Source organism: Homo sapiens, chromosome 7 (assembly GCF_000001405.40).
Source record: "Homo sapiens chromosome 7, GRCh38.p14 Primary Assembly".
NCBI classification, from domain to species: domain Eukaryota; kingdom Metazoa; phylum Chordata; class Mammalia; order Primates; family Hominidae; genus Homo; species Homo sapiens.
Genome location: NC_000007.14, coordinates 75,972,253 through 75,997,324, shown reverse-complemented (window position 1 = coordinate 75,997,324; position 25,072 = coordinate 75,972,253). Strand labels below are relative to the sequence as shown.

At 57.3% G+C, this 25,072-nt stretch overlaps 3 protein-coding genes across 26 annotated transcripts in view, besides 7 other annotated features; 2 read left to right on the top strand and 1 right to left on the bottom strand.

The window, feature by feature from the left end:
- Positions 1-988, top strand: part of STYXL1 (serine/threonine/tyrosine interacting like 1) — a 51,664-nt gene extending 50,676 nt beyond the window's left edge. For 8 of the 14 annotated variants that reach the window (NR_134487.1, XM_011516293.4, XM_047420470.1 and 5 more), the window contains one exon: positions 726-988. Coding sequence is in view for 11 of the 14 variants with exons in the window: in XM_011516293.4 (XP_011514595.1) it covers positions 726-857 (132 nt within the window). In the remaining 3 variants the exon portion in view is untranslated. The remainder of the gene's footprint in view (positions 1-725) is intronic. The other 6 variants (NR_134486.2, NM_001317788.2, NM_001317787.2 and 3 more) reach the window with 1 other exon arrangement.
- Positions 2,489-2,938: a silencer, noted in NCBI's record as "silent region_18304". NCBI's record gives its function as "represses an Ori minimal core promoter by ATAC-STARR-seq in GM12878 lymphoblastoid cells {active_cell/tissue: GM12878}" and the evidence as "EXISTENCE:reporter gene assay evidence [ECO:0000049][PMID:35858748]".
- TMEM120A (transmembrane protein 120A) lies at positions 2,730-10,494 on the top strand. Of its 5 annotated transcripts, none has more exons than NM_001317803.2 (12): positions 2,730-2,835; positions 4,768-4,886; positions 5,065-5,181; positions 8,101-8,160; positions 8,809-8,904; positions 8,984-9,073; positions 9,177-9,242; positions 9,341-9,402; positions 9,515-9,607; positions 9,723-9,787; positions 9,897-9,965; positions 10,102-10,494. In NM_001317803.2, the coding sequence occupies exons 1-12, from the start codon at positions 2,755-2,757 to the stop codon at positions 10,291-10,293; spliced, it is 1,110 nt and encodes a 369-aa protein (NP_001304732.1). In that variant the 5' UTR covers positions 2,730-2,754; the 3' UTR covers positions 10,294-10,494. The 5 variants fall into 5 exon arrangements, 4 of the variants coding, with proteins under 4 accessions (NP_001304732.1, NP_114131.1, XP_047276875.1 ...); NM_031925.3 differs by having other exon boundaries at positions 10,040-10,494; NR_156695.2 differs by lacking the exon at positions 9,723-9,787 and having other exon boundaries at positions 10,040-10,494.
- Positions 2,949-3,008: a silencer, noted in NCBI's record as "silent region_18303". NCBI's record gives its function as "represses an Ori minimal core promoter by ATAC-STARR-seq in GM12878 lymphoblastoid cells {active_cell/tissue: GM12878}" and the evidence as "EXISTENCE:reporter gene assay evidence [ECO:0000049][PMID:35858748]".
- Positions 5,190-5,249: an enhancer, noted in NCBI's record as "active region_26187". NCBI's record gives its function as "activates an Ori minimal core promoter by ATAC-STARR-seq in GM12878 lymphoblastoid cells {active_cell/tissue: GM12878}" and the evidence as "EXISTENCE:reporter gene assay evidence [ECO:0000049][PMID:35858748]".
- Positions 6,000-6,294: a silencer, noted in NCBI's record as "tiled region #3792; HepG2 Repressive DNase matched - State 18:Pol2". NCBI's record gives its function as "represses a minimal TATA promoter and a strong SV40 promoter by Sharpr-MPRA in HepG2 cells {active_cell/tissue: HepG2}" and the evidence as "EXISTENCE:reporter gene assay evidence [ECO:0000049][PMID:27701403]".
- Positions 7,366-7,575: an enhancer, noted in NCBI's record as "active region_26186". NCBI's record gives its function as "activates an Ori minimal core promoter by ATAC-STARR-seq in GM12878 lymphoblastoid cells {active_cell/tissue: GM12878}" and the evidence as "EXISTENCE:reporter gene assay evidence [ECO:0000049][PMID:35858748]".
- Positions 7,596-7,645: an enhancer, noted in NCBI's record as "active region_26185". NCBI's record gives its function as "activates an Ori minimal core promoter by ATAC-STARR-seq in GM12878 lymphoblastoid cells {active_cell/tissue: GM12878}" and the evidence as "EXISTENCE:reporter gene assay evidence [ECO:0000049][PMID:35858748]".
- POR (cytochrome p450 oxidoreductase) overlaps positions 10,470-25,072 on the bottom strand; it is a 71,701-nt gene continuing 57,098 nt past the window's right edge. For 5 of the 7 annotated variants that reach the window (NM_001382659.3, NM_001367562.3, NM_001382658.3 and 2 more), the window contains 14 exons: positions 24,864-24,912; positions 17,746-17,874; positions 16,837-16,986; positions 16,153-16,277; positions 15,719-15,808; positions 15,003-15,101; positions 13,689-13,805; positions 13,469-13,587; positions 12,367-12,548; positions 12,118-12,267; positions 11,476-11,746; positions 11,257-11,402; positions 11,084-11,166; positions 10,470-10,988 (listed from right to left, as the gene is read on the bottom strand). In NM_001382659.3, coding sequence (NP_001369588.2) covers positions 10,844-10,988; positions 11,084-11,166; positions 11,257-11,402; positions 11,476-11,746; positions 12,118-12,267; positions 12,367-12,548; positions 13,469-13,587; positions 13,689-13,805; positions 15,003-15,101; positions 15,719-15,808; positions 16,153-16,277; positions 16,837-16,986; positions 17,746-17,874; positions 24,864-24,912 — 1,855 coding nt within the window. In that variant the 3' untranslated portion in view covers positions 10,470-10,843. The remainder of the gene's footprint in view (positions 10,989-11,083; positions 11,167-11,256; positions 11,403-11,475; positions 11,747-12,117; positions 12,268-12,366; positions 12,549-13,468; positions 13,588-13,688; positions 13,806-15,002; positions 15,102-15,718; positions 15,809-16,152; positions 16,278-16,836; positions 16,987-17,745; positions 17,875-24,863; positions 24,913-25,072) is intronic. The other 2 variants (NM_001382657.2, NM_001382662.3) reach the window with 2 other exon arrangements.
- Positions 13,357-14,556: an enhancer, noted in NCBI's record as "CDK7 strongly-dependent group 2 enhancer chr7:75612087-75613286 (GRCh37/hg19 assembly coordinates)". NCBI's record gives its function as "activates an origin of replication core promoter dependent on BRD2, BRD4, P300/CBP, MED14 and CDK7 cofactors, with strong dependence on CDK7, by STARR-seq in HCT116 cells {active_cell/tissue: HCT116}" and the evidence as "EXISTENCE:reporter gene assay evidence [ECO:0000049][PMID:35650434]".

Here is a 25,072-nt window from a genome sequence, read left to right as displayed (position 1 = left end):
GTAGCTGGGATTACAGGCATGTGCCACCATACTTGGCTAATTTTTGCATTTTTTTAGTAGAGACAGGGTTTCGCCACATTGGCCAGGCTAGTCTCGAACTCCTGACCTCAGGTGATCCACCCGTCTCGGCCCCCCAAAGTGCCAGGATTACAGGCATGAGCCACTGTGCCTGGCCATTTCCTTCTGTTCCTAGTTTTAGGCACCACTCTTGCCTTTCCCTTTTTCGTTTGTCCTCAATCCAGATGGAGACCAGGTGCTCACCCTCCTTCATGCAGCAACACTTCCTGTACTTTAAGGTGGATGCCTGAAGGAGGGCAGCTTGAATTTTCTTCTTCAGAGAATTTGCCCACAGTTCTCTTCCTCTTTCCATTAATTTGTCCAGTCACAATGCAAACCTTTGTTGAGACTGCACTAGGCTTGGCATAGTGTTTGCCATCCACAGGTGGTTTCATGTATATTGTCTTAATCTTCCCAGAAGCTGTTTGAAATAGGAATTATTTCTGTCACCAGATTTAGAAGCAGAGGGGCTTGCCCAAGGCAGAGTCAGCTCCCATGACTCCCAGCACTGATGCATTCATGCCAGGCTGCCCTGTTTCTGCATCCAGCCCTTAAGCCGTGTTGCTGGCACTGTGCAAGTGCCTCCTGTCTCTGAAAGCTGCCTCTGATCCAAGTGGAAAGGGCCCAGGACCAATCGTGAAGTTCACTTTCTCTCTTTGTATTCATAGAGGTCCTGGGCCTATGTCAAGAAGTGCAAAAACAACATGTGTCCAAATCGGGGATTGGTGAGCCAGCTGCTGGAATGGGAGAAGACTATCCTTGGAGATTCCATCACAAACATCATGGATCCGCTCTACTGATCTTCTCCGAGGCCCACCGAAGGGTACTGAAGAGCCTCACCTGGGGGCATTTTGTGGGTGGAGGGCCAGAGTGTGTATACCCAGGCTTGTCTGGAAGGAGAAGGCCTTTGCTGCCTGAAAGTCTCATGTTAGCCTCCTGTACTGATTCTTCCCAAGTGCCTGTTCACGCCACCTAGCTGATGCGCCCTGCTCAGGTTCACCAAGAACCCGCATCCCTGAGGTGTCGCGGGCCATCCCAACTGCACCCCTGAGGCTGCCTCTGGAAGAGCATCTGGCTGCTAGAGCAGCTGCCCTGCATCCCCCTGGTGACTTAGACCCTTTGGAGGCTGCCTGGGGGTACCCAGAGGTTGCCTGTGTTGGTTCACAGAGGATGTCACAATAGCCACCAATAGGCAGTCCCCTAGTCCCAGAGATACCAAGCCCAGCCTTGTCTAGCCCCCAGGCTCCTAGAATGGGATCACACCCTTGCCTCATCCCCAGCGCTTCCTGCCATCCACCCCTTGAAACAGATTTTCTTTCCCTGCTCCCCACTCATTTCTGCCTGGCTGTGTTCACCAAGGAGAGATTCTCACCCCCTCCCCCATCTCCCTATCCACGTTTCTAGAAATTCCTAAGGTCTTAAAAGTTTTCCTTTTTTTTACCCCCTTTCCTTTTTTTTGGAGGCACGGTCTTGCTGTGTCTCTCAGGCTGGAGTGCAGTGGCGCAATCATGGCTCACTGCAGCCTCAACTTCCCTGGGCTCAAGCGATCCTCCCACCTCAACCTCCTGAGTGAGTAGCTGGGAATGCAGGCATGCACCATCACACCTGGCTAATTTATTTTTATTTTTGTAGAAACAGGGTCTTGCTCTGTTGCCTAGGCTGGTCTCGAACTTCTGGGCTCAAGTGATCCTCCAGCCTCGGCCTCCCCAAAATGCTGGGATTACAGGTGTGGGCCACGGCACCCAGTTGGAAGTTGTTTTCCAAATGCACTTCTCCAAAGCTGGCAGCACCCACAGAACAAACTGGGCATCAGGAGACGGCACAGACTAGGGGACTGGTAGGGGATTAGGATGTCCATCCATGCAGGACCTTCCCCAAGTCCATTCGGCAACCATTCCCTGCCACCGCGTGGGTGGGGCTGGGAACAGAGAGATGAATGCCGTCCCACCACTTAGCGCGCTCTGTGGAGGGATGGGGGTGGGAGGGGGTGGGGGATTCCCCTCAACAGAAGGGCAGGCCTTCAAGGAGGAGTGGGGTTTTGCCAGAGGGGGAACGGCTTTACACACAGCCCTGGCTTTCCTCAGGGTGTGAGTTGGGACAGAGCCCGGGATGGCTGCAGAGCTCCGATTAGGGACCTCCTGGTAGGCAGGACACAGCCGCTGGAAAGTTTTAAGCATGAACATGATGGGGAATCAGCCTTGTGTTTTGGGAAGGGCAGTCCGGTGGCCGCGAGAAGGGACAGTGGAGGTGAGGCAGGGAGAAAGGAGGCCGCTGTAAAAATCCAAGCGAGAGAAGCAGCTCTAACTCCCTTCCCCAAAGAGGCTCAGCTTCCCAAGGACGAAAATGTTGCAAGCAGGTGTCACCTCCCTGCACCTTGGTTTGCTCTCAGCATGACGGGCCAGAGCCCTGCTGGCTGCACCACGCGGCTGGCACAGTCAGTGCAGTCCAGGCCCGGGGGCTGCAGCCGTCCCAGTCCCGGTCCAGGCCGCGAGTCCCGGGGCTAGCAACCGCCCTTGCATACGGCCCCGCCCATACCCCGCCCCTGTCCCGGATTGGCTGGGGTGGGGGGCGTGGCCTTTCCCCATTGGTGCCCGTGGCGGCGCGAGCCCGGAAGCGGACGGGGGCGGTGGCGGAGGAGCCTCGGGTGGGCCGGGGTTGCTGCGCCGTCCTCCACTACTGGCTACTGGCGCTGCAGCCATGCAGCCCCCGCCCCCGGGCCCGCTGGGCGACTGCCTGCGGGACTGGGAGGATCTACAGCAGGACTTCCAGAACATCCAGGTTAGCGCCGCTGCGGACGCCGGGTCGCCCCCGAGCCGCGTCTCGCTGGCTCAGGGTCAAGGGTCGGGCAGCCCTGGGTCAGGCAGTGGGGAGCTAAGGGTCAGGGGTCGGGGCCCTGGCGTCACTGCCAAGGGGGGCGAGGCCCCTGGTCCTGGTGTCCACTGCCACCACCTCCAGTGTCCGGGAACCCCGGCGGGACCCCATCGCGCTGGGCGACCTCGGCTTCCAATGAGGGCCTTGGAAAGGGGCCCAGACCCCGACCCCGTCCCTTCCCAGAAGAGAGCGGCCGCCTGAGTCACACACGGGCGGGCCCAGCCTTGGGTCAGCCACTCAGCAAACGCGCAGCGGGCAGCGCCCGAGAGGCAGCCCAGGTCGGGGGAGCAGCGTTTAGGGGGGTGTCCTCGGCCTGGATGGGGGACGCCCCAGGCAGAGGGATACCGCGCGCCGCCGAGGCCTTTGGAAGGAAAGAGGGGACTTGACAGGCCCATGTGGCTGCATCAAGGAGAACCAGGGGAGGGGTGGGACGGGTGGGAGGGGTGGGCGGGGCTAGGCCCTGCAGGGACGCTCTGGCCTGGCAGAGATCAGAGTCCCTCCGAGGCCAGTGGAAAGCTACGGGAGGAATTGTCTGGACTGAGCTCCCCAGGGCCACCGTGGCTGTTCTGTCCAGAGGCCAGGGAGGAGGAGGCTGTTGGCCTCATCCAGGCAGGGAAGAGGGCGGTGGCTGTGGGTGGGCAGAAGTGGCACGTGCTGGGGTCCGAGGGGGCGTGGTGACCCCTCCTGGGCATGAGAAACAAGATCCAGACAGAGTAGAGCCCTGGCCAGCTGATGGCTTGGTTAGCCCTTGGCCTCTCCTGGACTGGTTCCAACTGCTTCCTGTGGGCATTGAAACCCAGCTGCCCCTGGCCCTGCCAAGGCCCCTGCCATTGGTGCTTCTCCCCAGAGACTGAGCAGACCCAGTCTCCCCGCCTGGCCGCCGCTGTCCTGGCCACAGCCCCTGCTTGGCTCTCCTCACACTGCCCCTTGCCCCATCTCTAGGCTGCGCCTTCTTGAGACTCACCTACCAGGGCAAAGTGCTTGGGGAATCCTTGGGCCAAAGGTGCTAGGGGAAGGGAGTGGGGCTGGCCTTAGAGCAGGAGGCTCTAGGGTTGAAACCTGATGACCTTTAACCTGGGAAGAAGATGTCAGGGATTCCTGAGAACCTGAGCTCCTCCTGTACTGGAAGGCTAGATAGGCAGGAGGAGCTGAGAGGATAGAGGGGTGGCTCTGGGCTGCCTGCTTGGTCCAGGAGGTGGCCCTGGGGGCCTAAGCTCCAGACTCAAGGTAGGAGAAAGAGTCTGTCCTTGTAGGGTGGGGACAACTAGCAGATGGGCTGAGACTAAGAAAACCTTGGCTGGGTGCGGTGGCTTATGCCTGTAATCCCAGCACTTTGGGAGGCCGAGGCAGGCAGATCACCTGAGGTCAGGAGTTCAAGACCAGCCTGGCCAACATGGTGAAACCCTGTCTCTACAAAAATACAAAAATTAGCCAGGCATGATGGCAGGTGCCTGTAATCCTAGCTACTTGGGAGGCTGAGGCAGAAGAATGGTTTGAACCCGGGAGGCGGAGGTTGGAGTGAGCTGAGATCCTGCCATTGCACTTCAGCCTGGGCAACAGAACAAGACTGTCTCAAAACAAAAACAAAAACAAAAACACCTAGTCTGTTTTTGGAGGAGGGGTGCTGTGGGGGTCTCTGGGCTCACAGGAGGACACCCAGGTCCTTGCCTGCCTTGGGGAGACAGCCACCTCATCCCTGGGCAGGCACAGTTCTACCTCCTTTCCCGCTGAGCGAAACCCTCCCAGCAGCCCTGGGGGAGCCTGAGCGCCACGTCCTGCCTGCAGGCTCTGGCTCAGTAGCTCCCCAACTGGCCTGAGCCTCTCCCCTCCGGCCCCCAGGAGACCCATCGGCTCTACCGCCTGAAGCTGGAGGAGCTGACCAAACTTCAGAACAATTGCACCAGCTCCATCACGCGGCAGAAGAAGCGGCTCCAGGAGCTGGCCCTCGCCCTGAAGAAGTTAGGATCCCCTACCCCACCCGCCATGGGCAGAGTGTGGGGTGGGAGGGCTGGCGCTGTGAGACCCTGGGCACCGCCCCTCCCCTCTCTGGGCCCTGTTTGCCCTTCTGCCCCTGTGGGAGTCAGGGAGGACACTTGGGAGTCCTCTTGCCCTGACTGTTTCTGGCCTTACCCGCAGATGCAAACCCTCCCTCCCAGCAGAGGCCGAGGGGGCCGCACAGGAGCTGGAGAACCAGATGAAAGAGCGCCAAGGCCTCTTCTTTGACATGGAGGCCTATTTGCCTAAGAAGAATGGGTGAGGGCCCCCACCGCCACCCCCAGCTCAGTTCACAGCCACTCCTGAAGCCGGGTGCTGCCTCCTCTTGGTCATTATAGTCAGCAAATGTTCCCTGGGCCCAGTACAGGCTGAGCAATGAGGCACAGTGCTGACTTCAGGGGAGACACCTGGCTGAGAGTGACATTTCACTGTGATAGGTGCTTTGTAGCATGGGGAATGAGGTGGCACAGTGAGGGACACCTGACCCAGTCCAGGAGGTCGCAGAAGGCTTCCTGGATTAGGGGATGGGTGGGCTGAGTCTTACAGAATAAAGAGTGGGCCGGGCGTGGTGGCTCTCACCTGTAATCTCAGCACTCTGGGAGATGGAGGTGGGAGGATCACTTGAACTCAGGAGTTCAAGACCAGCCTGGGTGACATACTGAGACCCTATGTCTCTATTTATTTAAAAAGAACAAATAGGCTGGGCGCGGTGGCTCATGCCTGTAATCCCAGCACTTTTTTGGGAAGCCAAGGCAGATCGCTTGAGGTCGGGAGTTCAAGACCCGCCTGGGCAACATGGTAAAACCCATCTCTACTAAAAATACAAAAATTAGCCGGGCATTGTGGCATGCACCTGTAATCCCAGCTACTTGGGAGGCTGAGACAGGAGAATCACTTGAACCCGGGAGGCGGAGGCTGCAGTGAGCTGAGATCGCACCACCGGACTGTAGCCTGGGCAACAGAGTGAGACTCTGTCTTAAAAAATAAATAAGTAAATAAATAAAAAAAATGAGGCAGACACATGGGCTGAGGGCGAGAGGTAGCAGCAGGTGGACGGGCCATGAGAACTTGTAGTGGCCAGAGGTCGGGGCGGGAGGTGAGAGGCAGCCAAGAGATCAGAGGCTTTGCTGGGCTGCAGCTCTTGCCTTGAGCCCAGTAGGCGGGCGGGGGCGGTGGAATGTGCACCTGGAAAGGCCAGCAGCTGTCACCCAGGAGGACGGATGGGGCAGTGCAAAACCCCCTGCTGAGCAAAAAATCCCAGCAGAGGCTGCAGGCAGGGAGATAGCTGGGAGAGGGCGTGGCCCAGAAGGCAGGGAGAAGAAAGGAGTGTCCGTAGCCTGGGGTCAGTCCTGTGATAAGGAAGGGGATGCGCTTCCTGGAAGTTGGGTCATCTTGGCAGAACCATTTGGTGGAAGGGGATGGATGTCGATCTTGGGGATGACAGAAGAGCCAAGGAAGGGAGACAGCCAAGTCTAGGAGACTTTTTTTTTTTTTTTTTTTTTTTGAGACAGAGTCTCACTCTGTCGCTAGGCTGGAGTGCAGTCACTTGATCTCGGCTCACTGCAACCTCTGTCTCCGTGGTTCAAGCGATTCTCCTGCCTCAGCCTCCGGAGTAGCTGGGATTACAGGTGCCCGCCACCACACCCGGCTAATTTTTGTATTTTTGTATTTTGTATTTTTAGTAGAGATGGGGTTTCACCATGTTGGTCAGGCTGGTCTCGATCTTCTGACCTCATGATCCACCCGCCTCGGCCTCCCAAAGTGCTGGGATTACAGGTGTGAGCCACCGCACCCAGCCCTCTGGGAGACTTTTTAGAGCTTGGCTGTGAGTGGAGGGAGAGAATTAGCAACTAGGAACTGGAAATTAGCACTGGGTTGAGGGGCAGCTACTGCCTGTTTGTGGGGTTACTTTGCCTCTGGGAAGACTCGAGCACATCCACCTGCTGAGAAGAGGGGCCGAGAGGGGAAAGACCCAGGAGAAGGGCAGGAGGTGATGGAGGGAAGCCTGGGGAGAGCGAGAAGGGCTAGTGGGGGATGGAGGGTGCAGAGATGAGAGTGAGGAGTGCTCCCGGCACAGTGCTCCTGGCATAGTGCTCCCCATAGAGCAGGAGTCAGGCTGTCTTCTCTGCAGTGTTGCAGGTGGGGCCCGAGGTGGGAGGAGACAGGGTAGAGGGTTTCGGGGAGAGGATGTGGAGAGGCGAGTGCTGGGAACCAGATGGCGAGCTGAGTGGGGACACATCCGCAGCCTGGTGGGTTGGCAGTGGAGGCTGAAGCTGGCCTGCTTGGGGAGCACTGTGCCGGGAGCATTCTGTAGAGGGAGAAGCATGGCTGTCCCAGAAGTTCTTTGTGGCCTTGGGGCAAATTGCCTAACCATGCTGAGCCTCTGTCTGTTTGGCTTGAGTGTGAACAAGAGCCCATGTGTCTGGGGCAGGTGCTGAGAAAGTGACCGTGACTTTGCTGTCACCTCTTGGAGTATCTCTGGCAGAGAAGGGCAAGATGATCTCAGTTGGTGGGTGTGGAGGCTGGACATGAAGGGGATTGGCAAAAAAGTGGTGTAATTGGCGGGTGGCCTGGGGACTCAGCCAGCTCTGATGAGATCTGGGACTGGAGAGCGTGGGGGCCTCGGTGAGGGACAAGGGGGGTCGTGGTGGGAAGAAACGCCCCGGGAGGCTGAGTACTTGGGGTCAGCCCACAGTCAGAGCTCTGAGTTTCTGTTCTGGTTTGGGAGGTCGTCCTAGATGTGGCCAGGCGTGTGGGTCTCTGAAGTGGAACCTAGTACTGCAGGTTCTGGAGGGGAGGTGGCAGGGAGCTGGGGGGTAGGTGGTGGCCATCGCACAGGGGAGCAATCGGGGACAGGGGGACGGCCCTCAGCAGGGAGGGAGAGCCGGGTTCTCTTGGTGCCCTGAGGTGGGGGAGTTTCAGACAAGACTCTGGAGATGGGGGGGAACACTGTTTCCTCCGGGGGTCAGGATTCCGGAGCAGGCGGCCAGGAAGGCTGGGCATGGCAGGGAGTGGGTCTGCAGCCTCCAAGGTCAGAACCCGATGCCAAGGCCCTGCGGAAAGCAGCGGGTGAGGGGGTGGGGTGGTGGCCCAGGCTCTGGCCTGGCAGGCTTGGCTGAGTACCGGTGGCTTGTCTGTCACTCGGGCTTCTCCTCACCCCGCCACCCCCTTCCCTAGATTGTACCTGAGCCTGGTTCTGGGGAACGTCAACGTCACGCTCCTGAGCAAGCAGGCTAAGTAATCAGGCCGAGCCTCCACCCCCCAACCTCCACCCCTCCACCCCTAGCCCCCTACCCCCCTCCCCCCCTCAACCTCCACCCCTCCACCCAGCCTTCCCCCGGAACCCGGCCTTCCCCTCCACCCCCCAACCCGGCCTTCCCCTCCACCCCCCACCCCACCCGGCCTTCCCCTCCACCCCCCACCCCACCCGGCCTTCCCCTCCACCCCCCCACCCGGCCTTCCCCTCCACACACCCACCCGGCCTTCCCCTCCACACACCCACCCGGCCTTCCCCTCCACACACCCACCCGGCCTTCCCCTCCACACCCCCTCCCCGCCTTCCCCTCCACACCCCCTCCCCGCCTTCCCCTCCACCCCCCCACCCGGCCTTCCCCTCCAGCCCCCCACCCGGCCTTCTTCCCCTCCAGCCCCCCACCTGGCCTTCCCCTCCAGCCCCCCACCCGGCCTTCCCCTCCACCCCTCCACCCGGCTTTCCCCCCAACCTGGTTTTCCCCTCCACCCCCCACCCCACCTGGCCTTCCCCTCCACCCCCCAACCCGGCCTTCTCCTCCATCCGACTACCCTTGGCTCAGCTGCCCTCCCGGGGTGGGGGCACACATGGGCCCCACCAGCACCCCACCCGTCTCACCGGCCTGCGCCCCCCAGGTTTGCCTACAAGGACGAGTATGAGAAGTTCAAGCTCTACCTCACCATCATCCTCATCCTCATCTCCTTCACTTGCCGCTTCCTGCTCAACTCCAGGTGGGCGTCCCACCCCGGCCGAGGACCCACCCCATCCCCAGTCGCTGCAGTACCAACCCTCGGTCCCCTCCCTCCGCAGGGTGACAGATGCTGCCTTCAACTTCCTGCTGGTCTGGTACTACTGCACCCTGACCATCCGGGAGAGCATCCTCATCAACAACGGCTCCCGGTGGGCAGGGCGGGCCCTGAGGGAGGGGAGCATGGAATGGGGTGCCAGGACCCTCCGGGAAGCAGGAACAGGCGCTGGGGGTGATGGTGGCTCTCTGCTCCAGGATCAAAGGCTGGTGGGTGTTCCATCACTACGTGTCCACCTTCCTGTCGGGAGTCATGCTGACGTGGTGAGTGGCTGGGCCCCGGCAGGGGCAGGAGCTGGGACAAGGAGGGGATACACGGCATCCCCAAGGGTCCCCACACTGCCCTCCACTTTTTACCTTAGGCCCGACGGTCTCATGTACCAGAAATTCCGGAACCAATTCCTCTCCTTTTCCATGTACCAGAGTGAGTGTCCCAGATGTCTGTGCTGAGCCCTGGAGGCACCCGTGGTGGGGGGCAGGGGCAGGGAACCCCTCCCGGGGCTCAGCCCTGCTCCTCTGTCCTCCGCCCGGCCCAGGCTTCGTGCAGTTTCTCCAGTACTACTACCAGAGCGGCTGCCTCTACCGCCTGCGGGCGCTGGGCGAGCGGCACACCATGGACCTCACTGTGGGTGAGTCGGGAGTGGCCCTGGCATCTGGACATTCCCCTTTCCTCCCATCCCGGGTCTGAGTGGTAGCGTCCCCTCTGTCCCTGGCCGTCCTGTGCCCTGACCTTCCTCCCCGCAGAGGGCTTCCAGTCCTGGATGTGGCGGGGCCTCACCTTCCTGCTGCCTTTTCTTTTCTTTGGACACGTAAGTCGTGCCTCTGTGTCCCTGCCTGTCTGTCTGTCCGTCCTCTGCGCCGGTTTCGGGCTCCAGCAGGGACTGGGTCTTCTGAGTAAAATGCCTCCTCCCTGCTTAGTTCTGGCAGCTTTTTAACGCGCTGACGTTGTTCAACCTGGCCCAGGACCCTCAGTGCAAGGAGTGGCAGGTGAGCCGGGGTCCCTGGACAGGATGGATGGGGGGCCAGGCCCATGTCCAGCCCTCACCCTATTCCTCCGGCAGGTGCTTATGTGCGGCTTTCCCTTCCTCCTCCTTTTCCTCGGCAATTTCTTCACCACCCTGAGGGTTGTGCACCACAAGTTTCACAGTCAGCGGCACGGGAGCAAGAAGGATTGAGGCTGGGCCTTCCCCTGCCGGCCCAGAGGGGCTTCTGTCCTGTGTGTTGTGGGAGGGGATGGGAGGCGCCCCTCGAGTGTGCGTGTATCAGGGGGTCTCTTCTATTCTCCCTTGGGTTTTATGGGCGCTGTGGGCCCTGAAGGAAGACCTGGGCCCAGTGCCCTCAATAAAGAGAGGCCCAGAGGTGGCCTGAGCGTGTGTGTTCTCCTGGGGGAGGGGAGGGCTGGGTGGCCCCACCACATGGGTTCCTGGGGTCTGAGTTAGTTAAGTTGATGCAGGTGGAGGTCCCAGATCTACTCACACAATACCAGGCAAATACAGAAAACAGAACTTTATTCCAAGGGCCAGAGGTTATTTAAAATTATTTACACTCACTGGAAATCACGTGGAGGGGCTGGGCCCAGCTCAGCAGAGAGAAAGAGCCCTTCTGTGCAGCCACCGAGGGCCAGAGGCCTCCAGAGGCATGGAGCCCGGTGCCCCCATGCAGGCCCTGGGCTGTGCTGCCAGGGGCCGGTGGACCTCACCTGGCCTGGGGGCTGAGGAGGATGCACCCCAGGCCCAGAGGAGTCTTTGTCACTGGGCCTGCGCCCATGCCAAGGCCAAGCCAAACACACCCAGGAGACTACGGGAGGGAGCCAGGAGAGCTGATTACAGGCCGGAGTCTGTGGGGTGGGTGGGGCAGGCAGGCCCCTAGCTCCACACGTCCAGGGAGTAGCGGCCCTTGGTCATCAGTTTCTTGATGTAGTCCACCGCCTGCGCGTGCTCCATGGCCCCGAGCTCAGCCACGATGTCGTAGAAGGTGTTCTGCACATCCCTGGCCATGTTCCGTGCATCCCTGGGCAGGAAGAGGGGGTGCTGGGGGCTGGGCCAACTGTGGCAGGCAGGGCCTTGTCCTCCCTGCCCCCTATTCCAGTGACCCCACTCACTCACCCACAGACGTAGATGTGGGCACCGCCTTCGATCAACTTCCACAGGTGCTCTCGGTCTTGCTTTAGCAGGTGCTGGACGTAGACCTGGGGCCAAGGGTGGTGCTGTGAGGGGGGCACTGTGGCTGTGGCCCTGCCAGCCTCATGCCCACCTTCGTGGGTGCCCGCCCGTCTCACCTTGTGGGACTGCTCCCGGGAGAAGGCCACGTTGAGCTGGGTGAGCGCACCGTCCCTGTGGAACTGCGCCAGCTCCTCCCGGTACAGGTAGTCCTCATCCGAGCGGCGGCAGCCGTAGTACAGCAGCGTCTCCCCCACCTCCTTGCCTGCGTGGCAGGGGCCGGGGTGAGCGCGGGGCTCCCAGTCGTCACCCCCTCTCCCCCATGGGACCCCACTCACCCTGCTGTCGCAGCCAGGCCCGCTCCTGGATGAAGCCTATGAAGGGTGCCACCCCGGTGCCGGGGCCCACCATGATGACAGGCGTGGTGGCCTTGAAGGGCAGGCGGAACTGGGACTTGCGCACGAACATGGGCACCAGCGCACGGCCGCCGTTCTCCCCGGCAGGCTCCTTGGCCCGCAGCCAGTTGGTGGCCACGCCCTTGTTGATGCGGCCAGCCTTGGTCTCGTACTCCACAACCACCGCACAGATGTGCACAGAGTTGGGGTGGACCTGTGGGGAGGGCCGTGTGAGCTCCACCGCCACACCGAGGCCCTTGCCCAGCCCCGGCCCCAAGTCCCGTTCTGCAGGCCAGCCCCACTCACCCAGGGCCTCTTCCAGCCCACCTGGCACCCAAACCTCAGAGGCCCCCTCCCCAGCGGCTTCCCGGACTGGTTCTGGGGACCGGGGCTGGACAGATGCTGAGAATCTCACAAGCCAGCCCGACTGAGTCCACAGCCTGGGGAGGCATTTGGAGCTGCGCTGGGGCTGGAACTGGAGCTCAGGGCTCAGATCTCGGAGCTCCTGTGCCGCCTTGCACTCTGCCTGCTGTGAGCAGGGCTGGGCCTCCAGCGTGTGGCTGGCAGGGCAGTGCCGGCCCTCACCTTGGAGGATGAGGCGATGGAGTAGTAGCGGGCCTGCAGGCGCGGCAGCAGCTCACACAGGTGGTCGATGGGGGGCCGCAGGGACGGGCAGTCCTGCAGGATGGCCAGGATGTGCCTCCGGGCCTCCACCACCCAGCTCAGGTACAGCTCCTAAGAGACACGGGGGTGAGATGGGGCTGATTGGGGCCCACGGAGCTCGGAAAACGGCGGGGTGACGGGGCGGAGGTTGCGGGGGCTGAGGGGGCGCACCTTGCCCTCGCCGGAGGAGGAGGCCATCTTGCGCAGCAGCTCCTGCTCCGAGGGCTCCGAGGCGTACTGCGCCAGCTCGTACAGCACGTTGGTACGCGGCGGGTTGGTGATGTCCAGGTAGTAGGTGAGGGCCGTGCGGTAGGACGTAGGGCACGGGAATGGGTGCTTCTTGTTGGACTCCTCTGCAGGGAAGAGACAGGCAGGACTTGGGGTAGGCGGCCGCCTCCTGGGGATGGGTGGCTGCGGCAGGAGGGGGTGACACCTTGGGCCAGCTCTGCGGCAACAGGTGCCCCAGCTGGTGCTGGAAACAAGGCCTATGCTCTCTGATGCCTCCCTGGCCCTGGGGCCAAGTCTGGGGCCTCCAACCAGACAGGAAGTCCTCATCAGAGGCAGGACCCTGCTAGGGGAGGTGCGGGGGAGCCCCTGCACACTAACGCACCCGCTGTGCTTTCACCGCACACTACACGGTCTGACACAGCCCCGCCCAGGCTTCCCTACAGGCGGGCTGTGGAAGCCGACAGTAAGGGCAGCCCTGGCATGGCAGCTGAGGACCGGCAAGCAGGGGTGGGGCGAGGTGGGCTCGGCCCAGGTTGGTGACCAGTGGGGTCCGAGGGCTTCACAGCGGGAGGCTCAGGCTGGGCAGCCCCACCAGGCCCAGGCAGCCCCGCGTAATGGCTACTGCCACTCGGCACCACTGTGCACCCTTGGGGGCCTGGGAGGGCTGCTGACTCCTGACTTCAGTGAGGAGGTGGGGGCAGCCCCAGGCCGGCAGAGGTGGGTCGTGGAGCCAGGCCCTCCTTCCCAGCAGGACACAGTGGCCATGGGGGAGCCAGGGCTGCCTCTGCCACCAGGCCTCAGCACCTCACTCCCTTAAAGGACTATGACAGTGACGGGGTAGGGGGAACCCCGACAGAGAGGGCTAGACCCCTAGGGCCACCCCGCCTCCCGTTTGCTTGGGATCCTGTAACCGTGGAGTCTCGGTGCAAGGGCCTCCCAGGCACCGGGGCTTCAGGCCTAAGCAGAAGCTCAACCCAGGGCCTTCCTACAGGCCCAATCCCGCGGCTGCCTGAGCCCGGCAGGGCGCCCTGACTGTGGCACTCACCATCCAGGTTGTTCAGGGACATGACGACGTCCAGGTCGGCACCCAGGATTTTGCCCAGCTGGTTGACGAGAGCAGAGTCGTTGGCTGGGTACACAGCCACGTGGTCCCCAGATTCATACCTGGAGGGAGATGTGAGGCTCGGGAGGGGCGGAAGGCTGGCCCTGCCCCAGGTCAGGAGGCCCAGAGTGAGGGTTCAGGGGGTGACAGTGGCAGCTGGTACCTGATTTTGGAGTCCGAGATGTCCAATTCCAGGTGCATGAGGTGGCGCTCGGTTCCCTGGTTCAGCTTCCGGTTGGTGGTGACTGCAGCCAGGAACGGATTCTTGGCATCAAAGGGGCTGGGTGGGGAGGAGAGAAGCACAGTGAGCGGCCGGGGCTTTGATCTGAGTCTCCGTCTCCAAGGACGCTTCTGGTTGCACAAAGCACAGGGAATCTCAGAGATCTCCATGAGGAAATCTCACCGGTTACATCAAGGGCTCTCCCAGCCTGGTCCAATGCAGTTCTCTTTTTTTTTTTTGAGACAGAGTTTCGCTCTGCCACCCAGGCTGGAGTGCAGCGGCGCGATCTCGGCTCACTGCAACCTCTGCCTCCCAGGTTCAAGCAATTCTCCTGCCTCAGCCTCCTGAGCAGCTGGAATTACAGGCATTCGCCACCATGCCTGGTTAACTTTTATATTTTTACTAGAGACGGGGTTTCACCATGTTGGCCAGGCTGGTCTTGAACTCCTGACCTCAGGTGATTCACCCACCTCGGCCTCCCAGAGTGCTGGGATTAGAGCTGTGAGCCACCTCGCCCAGCCCTAATGCAGTTCTCTCTATAGTCCCACCACATGGGCAGAGCTGGGTCATCAGTGTCTGTTTACAGATGTGGAAACTGAGGCTGGCCCCTAAAAGAACTGTGAGGCCCAAGCTGACGGTGCCACAGGCTGGAAGGTGGCTGGTCCCCAAATGAGGAGCACAGCTCCCCCACCCCCACACGTCCTGGACTACACCGTGGACAAGAGAGAAACTTGCACTCCGGAAAGCCACCGACATGCAGGGCTTCTCGCTCCAGCCAGGCTGGGGCAGGCCTACAGAAAGCAGGGCAGCTGGTCTTGGATGCAGTGGCACGAGGACTTCCCTGGGTGGCTCGGGCAGGAATCTGGGCAGCAACCAGGGGCCATCAAGGGCACAGAGAGGAACGCCAGGTTTCTCCCCCAAGTCTATCTATGGAGATAGATTCTAAGAAAATGAGCCCTTCTGCCAAAGAGGATCCTAGCCACAGAGGCCAATGCACTGTCCTAGTCGAGAAGTGGGATGTGCCCCGCTGCCCTGGGCAGTGCAGAGTAAGGTGGCTAAGTGAGCTCAGTACAAACTGGGCGAGTGCCAGTCTCCTGGGGCCGGGCCGTGGACAGGTCGTGGACACTCACACCCACTCGGGGCACGGGGTCTGGTGAGAAGGGCCCTGTGGGGATATGGGGATACACGGCAGACTGAGCCTGGGGTGCACCAGTGGCCATAGAGCCGTCTGCCCCAAGCCACGCTCCCTCCACTCACGGCTTCTGGTTCTCGTAGCTCTTCAGCCGGCCCATCTCCCCCATGTACACCTTGGCCGCATCTATGTCGGTGTGGACCACAAGCTCGTACTGGCGAATGCTGGAAAGGGGAGACCAAGGGTGAGGCCGGGAAGCGGCAGGGGTCAGTCCCGAGAGGGAGGGGTTGGACTACAGGGGAGACCGTGCATGGCCTTTGGGGTGAGGTCCCAGGTACATACGACAAGAAGCAGGGGAGCCCCTGCTGCAGATGCACAAGGAGGGCAGGCGAGGGAGCAAGGAGGGAGGCGGCGTGGAGCTGCCGGGGGCCAGACGCCCAGAAGCCGGGGCAGGGCTGGGCAGGCTTCCATCTGGGAGAAGGTAAGGAAGCCCGGGCAGCACCCAGGGGCCATCAAGGGCACAGAGAGGAACGTTATGTTTTTGGCCAAGTCTGTGGAGGCAGATTTTAAGGAAATGAGCCCTTTTGCCAAAGTTGAACCTAGCCACAGAGCCCGACGCGATGTGTCCTTGTCGAGAGGTGGGATGCACCCCGCTGCCCCAGGGCAGTGCAGAGCAACGTGGCAGAGTGAGTCCTTGGCTGGGACCAAGGTCCCTCCTCGACCCTATGACGGAGTGTCTTCTAACCTTGCTGCGACCCACTGCCAGCCCTTGTTCCAGGGTGGCTGCCCTCGGCACAGGACCCGCCCAGGCCACCCACCGCACCTGCGGGCACTTGCTCACCTGGACTCCTCGCCAGTGGCTTCCACCCCAAAGTGTTCACACACGGCCGGCCAGAACTGCTCTCGCCAGGTGATGAAGTCCTCCTCCAAGCTGGGCCGAGGAGAGGAGAGGGGGAGCGGCTCAGGGGAGGCCCATGTGGCAACGGTACCTGGTGCCAGGCACGCCCCGACCCCACCCCATCCCCAAAGCTCAGGACTGTGCACCCTGGGGCACCCAGCGACATAAACCCAGAGCATCAGGAAGGCTCCAGGGAGTTGGGCAAGCCGAAAAGCAAAACTGGCAGGGGCAGGGCAGAGGCAGGAGAGCCCCTTCCCTCTGTGTTGGAGGTGCGTGTCGCTGAGTCTCAGCTGACACAATGGTGTGCGCGCCCCTCACGTTCCACGGCCCCTGCCTAAGCCCGCCGCGCTGATCATGGTGGCAGGGTGGGCACTCACTTCCCATCGTCGTCGCCCAACCCCAGCTCAAAGATGCGCTGGGCGCCGAGCTGCTCCAGCCGCTTGTCCACGTACTTGCCCATGGCATTGAAGTGCTCGTAGGTCTTGTTCCCAAGACCAAACACCTGCGTGGACACAGGGGCCGCTCTGAGGCCTGGCCCTCGACCTGACCAGTGGGAGGGGCCATGGGGGCAGGGCGGGAGGCCCCACAGCACTGGCTGAGCTGCTGGCAACACCTGCAGGCCTCCGTTCCACCAGGCGCCTCGCACTGCAAGGAACACTGGGCCACTGAAGAGGCTTCATCTGGTTGACCTGCAGCCCACAGCCTGCCCCGTCCACTGCCAGCCTCAACCCACAGGGAAGCGGGGCCAGCCCACCCTCCCCACCGGGCTGGGGCTCCAGCTCTCCGAGGCCAGGCAGGTCTCAGTCGTCCAGCCAGACCTTTCTTGCCTTTAGTCTCCAGCACCCAATGCCCCCTGGAGCCGACTGGGGCTGGGGACAGGGAGGGGACATTCTCGTAGTGCTGGGGTCTGGGGCAGAGGAGAGGGTCTCACAAGTGGCCTGCCCTGGCTGCTGAGGACAGGGTGGGGGTCTGGAGGGCTGCCTTTCAGATACATGGATCTGGAGTCCCCAGGGAGGCACCGCAGGCCACCGGGAGCCCATAGCAGTCTCTGGGTGACTCACCGCGAACTTGACCCCAGAGAGATCCACGTCTGTCTCCTGCAGCCAGTCGTAGAAGTCCTGGGCATTGTCGGTGGGGTCTCCCTCACCGTAGGTGGCCATGCAGAAAACCACCAGGGCGTTGTCGATCTCTGGCAGGCTGCTCAGGTCGGCCTGCAGAAACAGGGACAGGACCGCGCCCCGGCCATGACTGAGCCTGTTCAAGGTTCAACCCGCACCAGATGGGGAAGGCCAGGTCCTGCCCAGGGTGGCACCAGGCCAGGGATGTCTGAGTGTCGTGGGATCAGAGAGAAGTAACAACACGGAGGGGCTGGGGCATGGGCATTTGTGCCAGGTGGGCAGGACAAGGTCACCCGTGTTAGGCTGGAGCGGAGAGGATGTGTTTCTAGAGGAAAGTGAAGCTTGGCACAAAAGAGCCATCAGAATGCAGCCTCCTGAGCTGATGCAGGTCTGGGGCCACCCTGGGAACCTCATTCCAAAGCTCCCAGGCACCGCACAGCCCCGGTGCACACTGATATCTAACTAAACTGTTCATCAACTGCAAATGCAGCCTGGAGAGGGCTGTGGGGTAGTGCCCGTCACCAAGACCTCGAAGGAGAGGGGAGTGGAGCAGCTGGGGAGGGTGGGTTTGGTTTGGGAGATGTGGCGGCCGCCAGGAGGGCAGCCGGCACTCAGGGGAGGGCCAGTCCTGGGGAAACGATGCCTGGCACGTGGCTGCAACTGCAGGAATGGCCCTTCCGTCAGTCAGCCCGGGCAGGGATGGCAATGACCCTCACGGGAAGGCAACTTCCGAGGACGTCTTCCCAGGACCCCACTCCCTGCCGGCCTCCCCCTGCTGAGGGGCGCCCTACAGACCTGCTCCCTGTCCTACCCACTGCCTCCATCTGGGGCCAGCACGCGGTGGCAGCTTACCAGGTCATACTCCTCAGGGTCCGCTGACATGCCTCGCATCCCGTAGCGGTGGGCGTCCTTGGACAGGCGGTTGGCAAACTCCTCTGCAGTCCCCGTCTGGGAGCCGTAGAACACGATGATGTTCCTCCCCTAAGGAAGGCAGACACAGGGTTGGTGAGGGCCACAGACCTCAGCCACGGCTCCGGTGAACACCCACTGGGCAGGCCTGGCAGGCGGGGGCCCTCCAGGCCGCCCCCTTTCCTTCCTGGCTTTGAGTCCCTTCTAAGTTCCTCTGGGACTTGCTTCTCACTGTCACAGCCACTGTGGCAAAGGAGGGCAAAGGTCACCAAGGCAATCTCACACACGCGGCTGCTCAAGATCACACTTCTGACATTTTCATGACACGGGGAAAAAACAAAGTTAAAAAAAGTAACCAAATGTATAGCCCCTATCCGTGGGGGAATGGTTCCAGGACCTCCCATAGATACTTACATCCAAGGATGCAGCCGGGCGTGGTGGCTCACACCTGTGATCCCAGCACTTTGGGAGGCTGAGGCTGGCAGATTACCTGAGGTCAGGAGTTCAAGACCAGCCTGACCAACATGGTGAAACTCCATCTCTACTAAAACTACAAAAATTAGCCGGGCATGGTGGCGTGCACCTGTAATCCCAGTTACTAGGGAGGCTGAGGCAGGAAAACAGCTTGAACCCAGGAGGTGGAGGTTGCAGTGAACTGAGAACACGCCACTGCACTCCAGCCTGGGTGACAGAGCAAGACTCCACCTCCAGTGGCTCACGCCTATAATCCCAGCACTTTGGGAGGCCAAGGCGGGTGGATGACTTGAGGTCGAGAGTTCAAGACCAGCCTGACCAATATGGAGAAAACCCTGTCTCTACTAAAAATACAAAATTAGCCGGGCATGGTGGCACATGCCTGTAATCCCAGCTACTTGGGAGGCTGAGGCAGGAGAATCGCTTGGACCTGGGAGGCAGAGGTTGTGGTGAGCCGAGATCGCGCCATTGCACTCCAGCCTGGGCTACAAGAGCAAAACTCCATCACAAAAAAACCCAAAAAACAAAAATCCAAGGATGCTCAAGTCCCTGCTATAAAATGATGTGGTATTTGTGTGTAGCCTACACACATCCTCCAACATACTTTAAATCATCTCTAGATTACTTATTAATGTAATACTTAATGTAATGTAAATTCTCTGTAAATAGTTGCTATGCTGTATTGTTTAGGGAACAGTAAGATGACAGTATGTGTTCAGGACAGACACAACAATCCATTTTTTCTCCAAATATTTTCAGTCTGCAGTTGAATTCTTGAACTCCGAACTCACGGATATGCAGGGCTGGCTATACAATCCAATTGTGTTATATAAATAATAGATATGTATATCAAAACATACATATGTATTTTCTTTCTATACCCACAGGCACAAAGAAAACAGACTGGCAAGAAATATACCGAGGGTCCCTAAATGGGGCATTCTGGATGTGTTTTGCTGGTTAAATACATATTCATTATAAAATTTTACAACAGGGAAAGGTCCTAGGGGCTGGCTCACATACTCGTCAGTCCACCCTCCTCCTCCAGCAGCTGTTGAAAAGCCTGAAATCCTATTCCCCAGAGCCCGTTGGGGCTGGAGTTGCAGCCAATTCGGTTCAGCCAATTGAACGTGCTTTGCAAGATCTGAAGGGTGGAAGGGAGGCCAAGGCTTCCTGGCCCCTCATGCACATGTGAGGTTCTCTGCAGTGCCTGGTCTTCAGTGCCTAAGGCATTTTTCTTTTTTTCTTTTCTTTTTTTTATTTTTGTGTGTGAGACGGAGTCTCGCTCTGACGCCCAGATTGGAGTGTAATGGCACGATCTCAGTTCACTGCAACCTCTGCCTCCTGGGTTCAAGCAATTCTCGTGCCTCAGCCTCCTGAGTAGCTGGGATTACAGGCACCCACCACTATGCTAGGCTAATTTTTTTGAATTTTTAGTAGAGACTGGGTTTCAACACGTTGGCCAGGCTGGTCTCGAACTCCTGACCTCAGGTGATCTGCCCACCTTGGCCTCCCAAAGTGCTGGGATTACGGGCGTGAGCCACCGCACCCAGCCACCTGAGGTATTTCTAATAGTTTTGGTAGCCAGACTGCAAGTTCCTAGTCCTGGCTACTGGCTTATGTGATGTTCAGAGGCAGCTGTAGAAGTAGCTTCTTATCCTGGATCACAGCTACACGTGGTGTGTCCTGAACTCAACAGTTTCAGGCTGCATTCGAACAGAGCAGCTACCTTGCAGGTTGCTTCTGTGATATCTTAGAGACCAACCTGCTCCTTCAGCCCCTCCAGTAACCTGGAAGTACCCCCTTCCCTGTGTGAAATCCCTTCCAGATTAAAATGCCTAAAGTAGTCTCTAGTTTTCACACTGAATCCCACCTCATACAAAATAAAACTTACGCGGCCGGGTGCCGTGGCTCACTTCTGTAATCCTAGTACTTTGGGAGGCCGAGGTAAGAGGATGACTTGAGCCCAGGAGTTTGAGACCAGCCTGGGCAACATGGCAAAACCCTGTCTCTACTAAAAATACAAAAAATTTATCTGGGTGTGGTGGCGCATGCCTATGGTTCTAGCTACTTGGGAGGCTGAGGTGGGAGGATCACTTGAGCCTGGGAGGTTGAGGCTGAAGTGAGCTGTGATTGAGCCACTGCACTCCAGCCTGGGTGACAGGAGTGAGACTGAGTCTCAAAACAAAACCACCACCAAAAAAAACTTAGGGATTACAATAAATGTTCTTATACTTTTTAAAGTTCCTGAATTTTCCACAAATCATTGTTAAATCATTAAAAATTGTTTTTTTTTTTCTTGAGACAGAGTTTTGCTCTTGTCGCCTAGGCTGGAGTGCAGTGGTGCGATCTCGGCTCACTGAAACCTCTGCCTCCTGGGTTCAAGCGATTTTCCTGCCTCAGCCTCCTGAATAGCTGGGATTACAGGTGTCCGTCACCATGCCTGGCTAATTTTTTGTGTTTTTAGTAGAGACAGGGTTTCACCATGTTGGTCCAGCTGGTCTCAAAGCTCCTGACCTCAGGTGATCCGCCCGTCTCAGCCTCCCAAAGTGCTGGGATTACAGACATGAGCCACTGCACCCGGCCAAAAGGATTTTTTTTTTTTTTAGATGGAATCTTGCTCTGTTGGCCAGGCTGGAGTGCAGTGGTGCGATCTTGGCTCAATGCAACCTCCGCCTCCCGGGTTCAAGTGATTCTCCTGCATCAGCCTCCCGAGTACCTGGGACTACAGGTGCATGCCACCACGCCCGGCTAATTTTTGTATTTTTAGTAGAGACAGGGTTTTCGCCCAAAAGGATATTTTAAAATAATCACCGTAAAAATACTTAATAGAAGAGAAAGTGCTCATGATTATCAGGTTAAGAGAACAAAAGATGACCTAAGATAGCAGCTAAATATTTACAGGAGCATCAAAATATATAAAATACCTAGAAATAAACTTTGTAAGAGATGTGTCAGAAGCTACTGAACTACACACAAAGGACTCACGCCAATGGAAAAGCACCCCGATTATGGACAGGGAGTCTCGACCCACAAAAATGGCAGCTCTATTTATGTCACTAGAGAAATGTGGCATGATGTAATAGAAATCTGAACCAGCTGGGTGCAGTGGCTCACACCTGTAATCCCAGTACCCTGGGAGGCCACACCAGGAGGACTGCTTAAGCCCAGGAGTTTGAGAACAGCCTGGGCAACAGAGTGAGACCCAGTCTCTACCAAAAAAAAAAAAAAAAATCTGAACAGCTTTTTTTTCCTCAACAAATTGATCCTAAAAGTCACGGAAAAATAAGTAAGAATCCATATATTAAAACATTATTTGGCAATAAAAAGGAAGTACTAACATATGCTACAGTGTGGGTGAACCTTGAACACGTTGCGCCCAGTGAAAAGAACCCAGAGACCCAGCTATTATTATTATTATTTGACACAGGGTGTAGCTGTTGCCCAGGTTTGAGTCCAGTGGTCACTGCAATCTGTGCCTCCCAAGCTCAAGCTATCCTCCCACTTCAGCCTCTCAGGTAGCGGGGACTATAGGTGCGCACCACTGTGTCCCACTAATTTTTCTATTTTTTGTGGAGATGGGGTTTCGCCATGTTGCCCAGGCTGGTCTCAAACTCCTGGGCTCAAGCGACCTGCCCATCTCGGCCTCCCAAAGTGTTGGGATTACAGGCATGAGCCACTGCGCCCAGCCCAGGAATTAAGTATATGATAAAGGTGGCATTTCAAACCAGTGGGGGAAAGATGGACTCTAATACATGGTGTTTAGACAGCTATGTAAAATGTAGAGTTGGATTCATACCTCACATCTTACATCAGGATAAATTCCCAATAGATCAGATTTTAAATTTTGAATATGAAAAACAAAACCCTAAAAGTACTAGAAAAAAAAAATACAGGAATATCTTTATCTCTTTAGCATGGGGAAGACCTTCAAATTATGACTCTAAGACCAGAAGTCACGAAAAGAAAGAATCATATAGGTGACTCTGTAACTTTTACACAGCAAAACAAATAAAAATGCGATCAGCTAGGTTGAAAGACAAACTTTTTTTTAAGAGATGGAATCTCACTAAAAGACAAACTCTTTAACGGGCAAGATATTTTCAACTTATATCACAGACAAGAGATTCATCTCCCTAATAATTTCAAGGAGAAAGATCAATCCCAACAGAAAAGCAGGCAAAAGATGTGAAGAGAGAATCTATTAAAAAAAGAAAAAAGAGGCTGGGTGCGGTGGTTCAGGCCTGTAATTCCAGAACTTTGGGAGGCCAAGTTGAGTGGATGACCTGAGGTCAGGAGTTCGAGACCAGCCTGGCCAACATGGCAAAACCCTGTCTCTACTGAAAATACAAAAGTTAGCCAGGCATGGTAGCACGCACCTGTAATCCCAGCTACTCAGGAGAATGAGGCATGAGAATTGCTTGAACCCGGGAGGTGGAGATTGCAGTGAGCTGAGATCACACCACTGCACTCCAGCCTGGGCAACAAAGCGAGACCCTGTCTCAAAAAAAAAAAAAAAAAAAAGAAAAGAAAAAAGAAAAAGAAACGAAGCCATCTAGACCTAGGTGGGTGAAAATCTACTGAATCTCATTCATAAAAATGTAAATTACAACTATACTGAGTTTTTTTTTTAAGCCTAGAAAACTGACAAAAATCTAAACTTTAATAACAAACTGTTGGCAAGGCTGTGGGGAACAGTTTTCTCACACGTCGCTATTCTTGAGCGCGTGCCACGGTGTGACTCCTACGGGGACGATTTGTAGCTTCTATCACGATTGCAAACACATCTACCTTCCAATCCAGCAATTCCACTTCTGGGACTGCTTTGTATTTGAAATGTGCAAACCGAGCTACATATTCACAGTGACATTGTTGGTAAGAGCCAAAGAGTAGCAACAGCCCCAGTGCCCATCTTTAATAGGACAGGGTTAAGTGCGTTACAGTGAATCCAGATGGCCATATAATGGAATCATGGTACAGCTAAGATGATGGCAGTATCTTTGTATTGATATGGAAGGATCTTTGAGACATATCAAGTTGTTTTGTGTTCTTTTTTTTTTAAAGCAAGGTCAGCCGGGCGCAGTGGCTCACGCCTGTAATCCCAGCACTTTGGGAGACCGAGGCAGATGGATCACGAGGTCAGCAGTTTGAGACCAGCCTGGTCAACATGGTGAAACCCCGTCTCTACTAAAAATACAAAAATTAGCCAGGCACGGTGGCAGGCGTCTAACCCCAACTACTCCGGAGGCTGATGCGGGAGAATCACTTGAACCGAGGAGGTGAAGGTTGCAGTGAGCCAAGACCGTGCCATTGCACTCCAGCCTGGGCGACAGAGCGAGACTCTGTCTCAAAAAAAAAAAAAAAAAAAAAAAAAGCAAGGTCTGGAACAGTGCACATAGTATGCCACGTTTTGTGTTTTAAGAAAAGTGTAGGCTGGATGCAATGGCTCGCACCTACAGTCCCAGCACTTTGGGAGGCGGAGGCAGAAGGATTGCTTGAGGCCAGGAGTTCAAGACCAGCCTGGGCAACATAGCGAGAACCTGTTCCTATGAAGAATAAATTAAAAAATTAGCCAGGCGTGGTGGTGTGCACCTGTAGTCCCAGCTACTTGGGAGGCTGTGGTAGGAGGATGGCTTGAGTCTAGGAGTTTGAGGCTGCAGTGAGCTATGATGGCGCCGCTGCACTCCAGCCTGGGCAACACAGTGAGACCCTGTCTCTAAAATAAAATAAAGGTTTTTTTAAATTAAAAATAAGAGTCTCTGTTTGTTTTACTTGTATGTTCATACAGGAACTCTAGAAGGATCCATAAATAATAAGAACAGTGGGGATGAGTGGGTGGCAGAGGGGAGCTTTCCACTGAATAGTGGATGTTTTTATTTTAACTATGTAAATGTAGTACTGATGCCTACAATTAAATAGTTAAATTGGCTGGGTGCGGTGGTTCACGCCTGTAATCCCAGCACTTTGGGAGGCTGAGGCGGGCGGATCACCTGAGGTCAGGAGTTCAAGACCAGTCTGGCCAACATGGTGAAATCCCATCTCTATTAAAAATACAAAAATTAGCTGGGCGTGGTGGCACGCACCTGTAATCCCAGCTACTCGGGAGGCTGAGGCACGAGAATGGCTTGAACCCGGGAGGTGGAGCTTGCAGTGAACCGAGATTGCGCCACTGCACTCCAGCCTGGGTGACAGAGCGAGATTCCATCTCAAAAAAAAAAAAGTAACAAAAACAAAGCGGAGAGAAAATGGCAGTGGTGCCACGACCGCAGCTCTGTGAGATTTACCTCTGCTCCTGGACAGGCCAGGGCCAGACGGGAGAAGCTTCGTGAGTTAGAGGGAGGGTCTGTTCTTAGACTTTGGTTTGTTCAAAAAGTAAAGATTCAAGGAAACAAACTGTCCCAGCAACAGCAGAGCTGCTTCAGGGCTTTGGTTAGGCAAGAATGACTCCCAAGCGAGCCGGGCTGCGTTCCCTCTCCTGGCCACCGGGACATCCTCTATGCGGTGACGCCAGCCGTCTGCTAGACTTGATTACATGCCCATCGGGGCCGAGGCTTCCTGAGAAGAGTAAAGACATGCAGGAAACTCACCGTTTTCTTCATCTTTTCCACAAAGCTGCTCTCTCTGACAGAGGAGGTCCTGCAAGACAAAAGTGTGCAATGAGCGTGGGAGGCAGGTGTCATGGGACACAGGTGTCACGGGACGTGGGTGTCCTTAGATGCAGGTTTCATGGGATGCTGTGGCAGCACAGGGAGGGGACATTCCAGCTTTGTCCCGTGCCACTCCCCAGGGGCTAAGC

Excerpts from the sequence above, each read along its gene's own strand:
- TMEM120A (NM_001317803.2), top strand. The coding sequence starts at position 2,755 with ATGCAGCCCCCGCCCCCGGGCCCGCTGGGCGACTGCCTGCGGGACTGG. Across the intron at positions 5,182-8,100 it reads TATTTGCCTAAGAAGAATGG|ATTGTACCTGAGCCTGGTTC; the intron begins GTGAGGGCCCCC and ends CCCCTTCCCTAG. Across the intron at positions 9,074-9,176 it reads CTCATCAACAACGGCTCCCG|GATCAAAGGCTGGTGGGTGT; the intron begins GTGGGCAGGGCG and ends TCTCTGCTCCAG.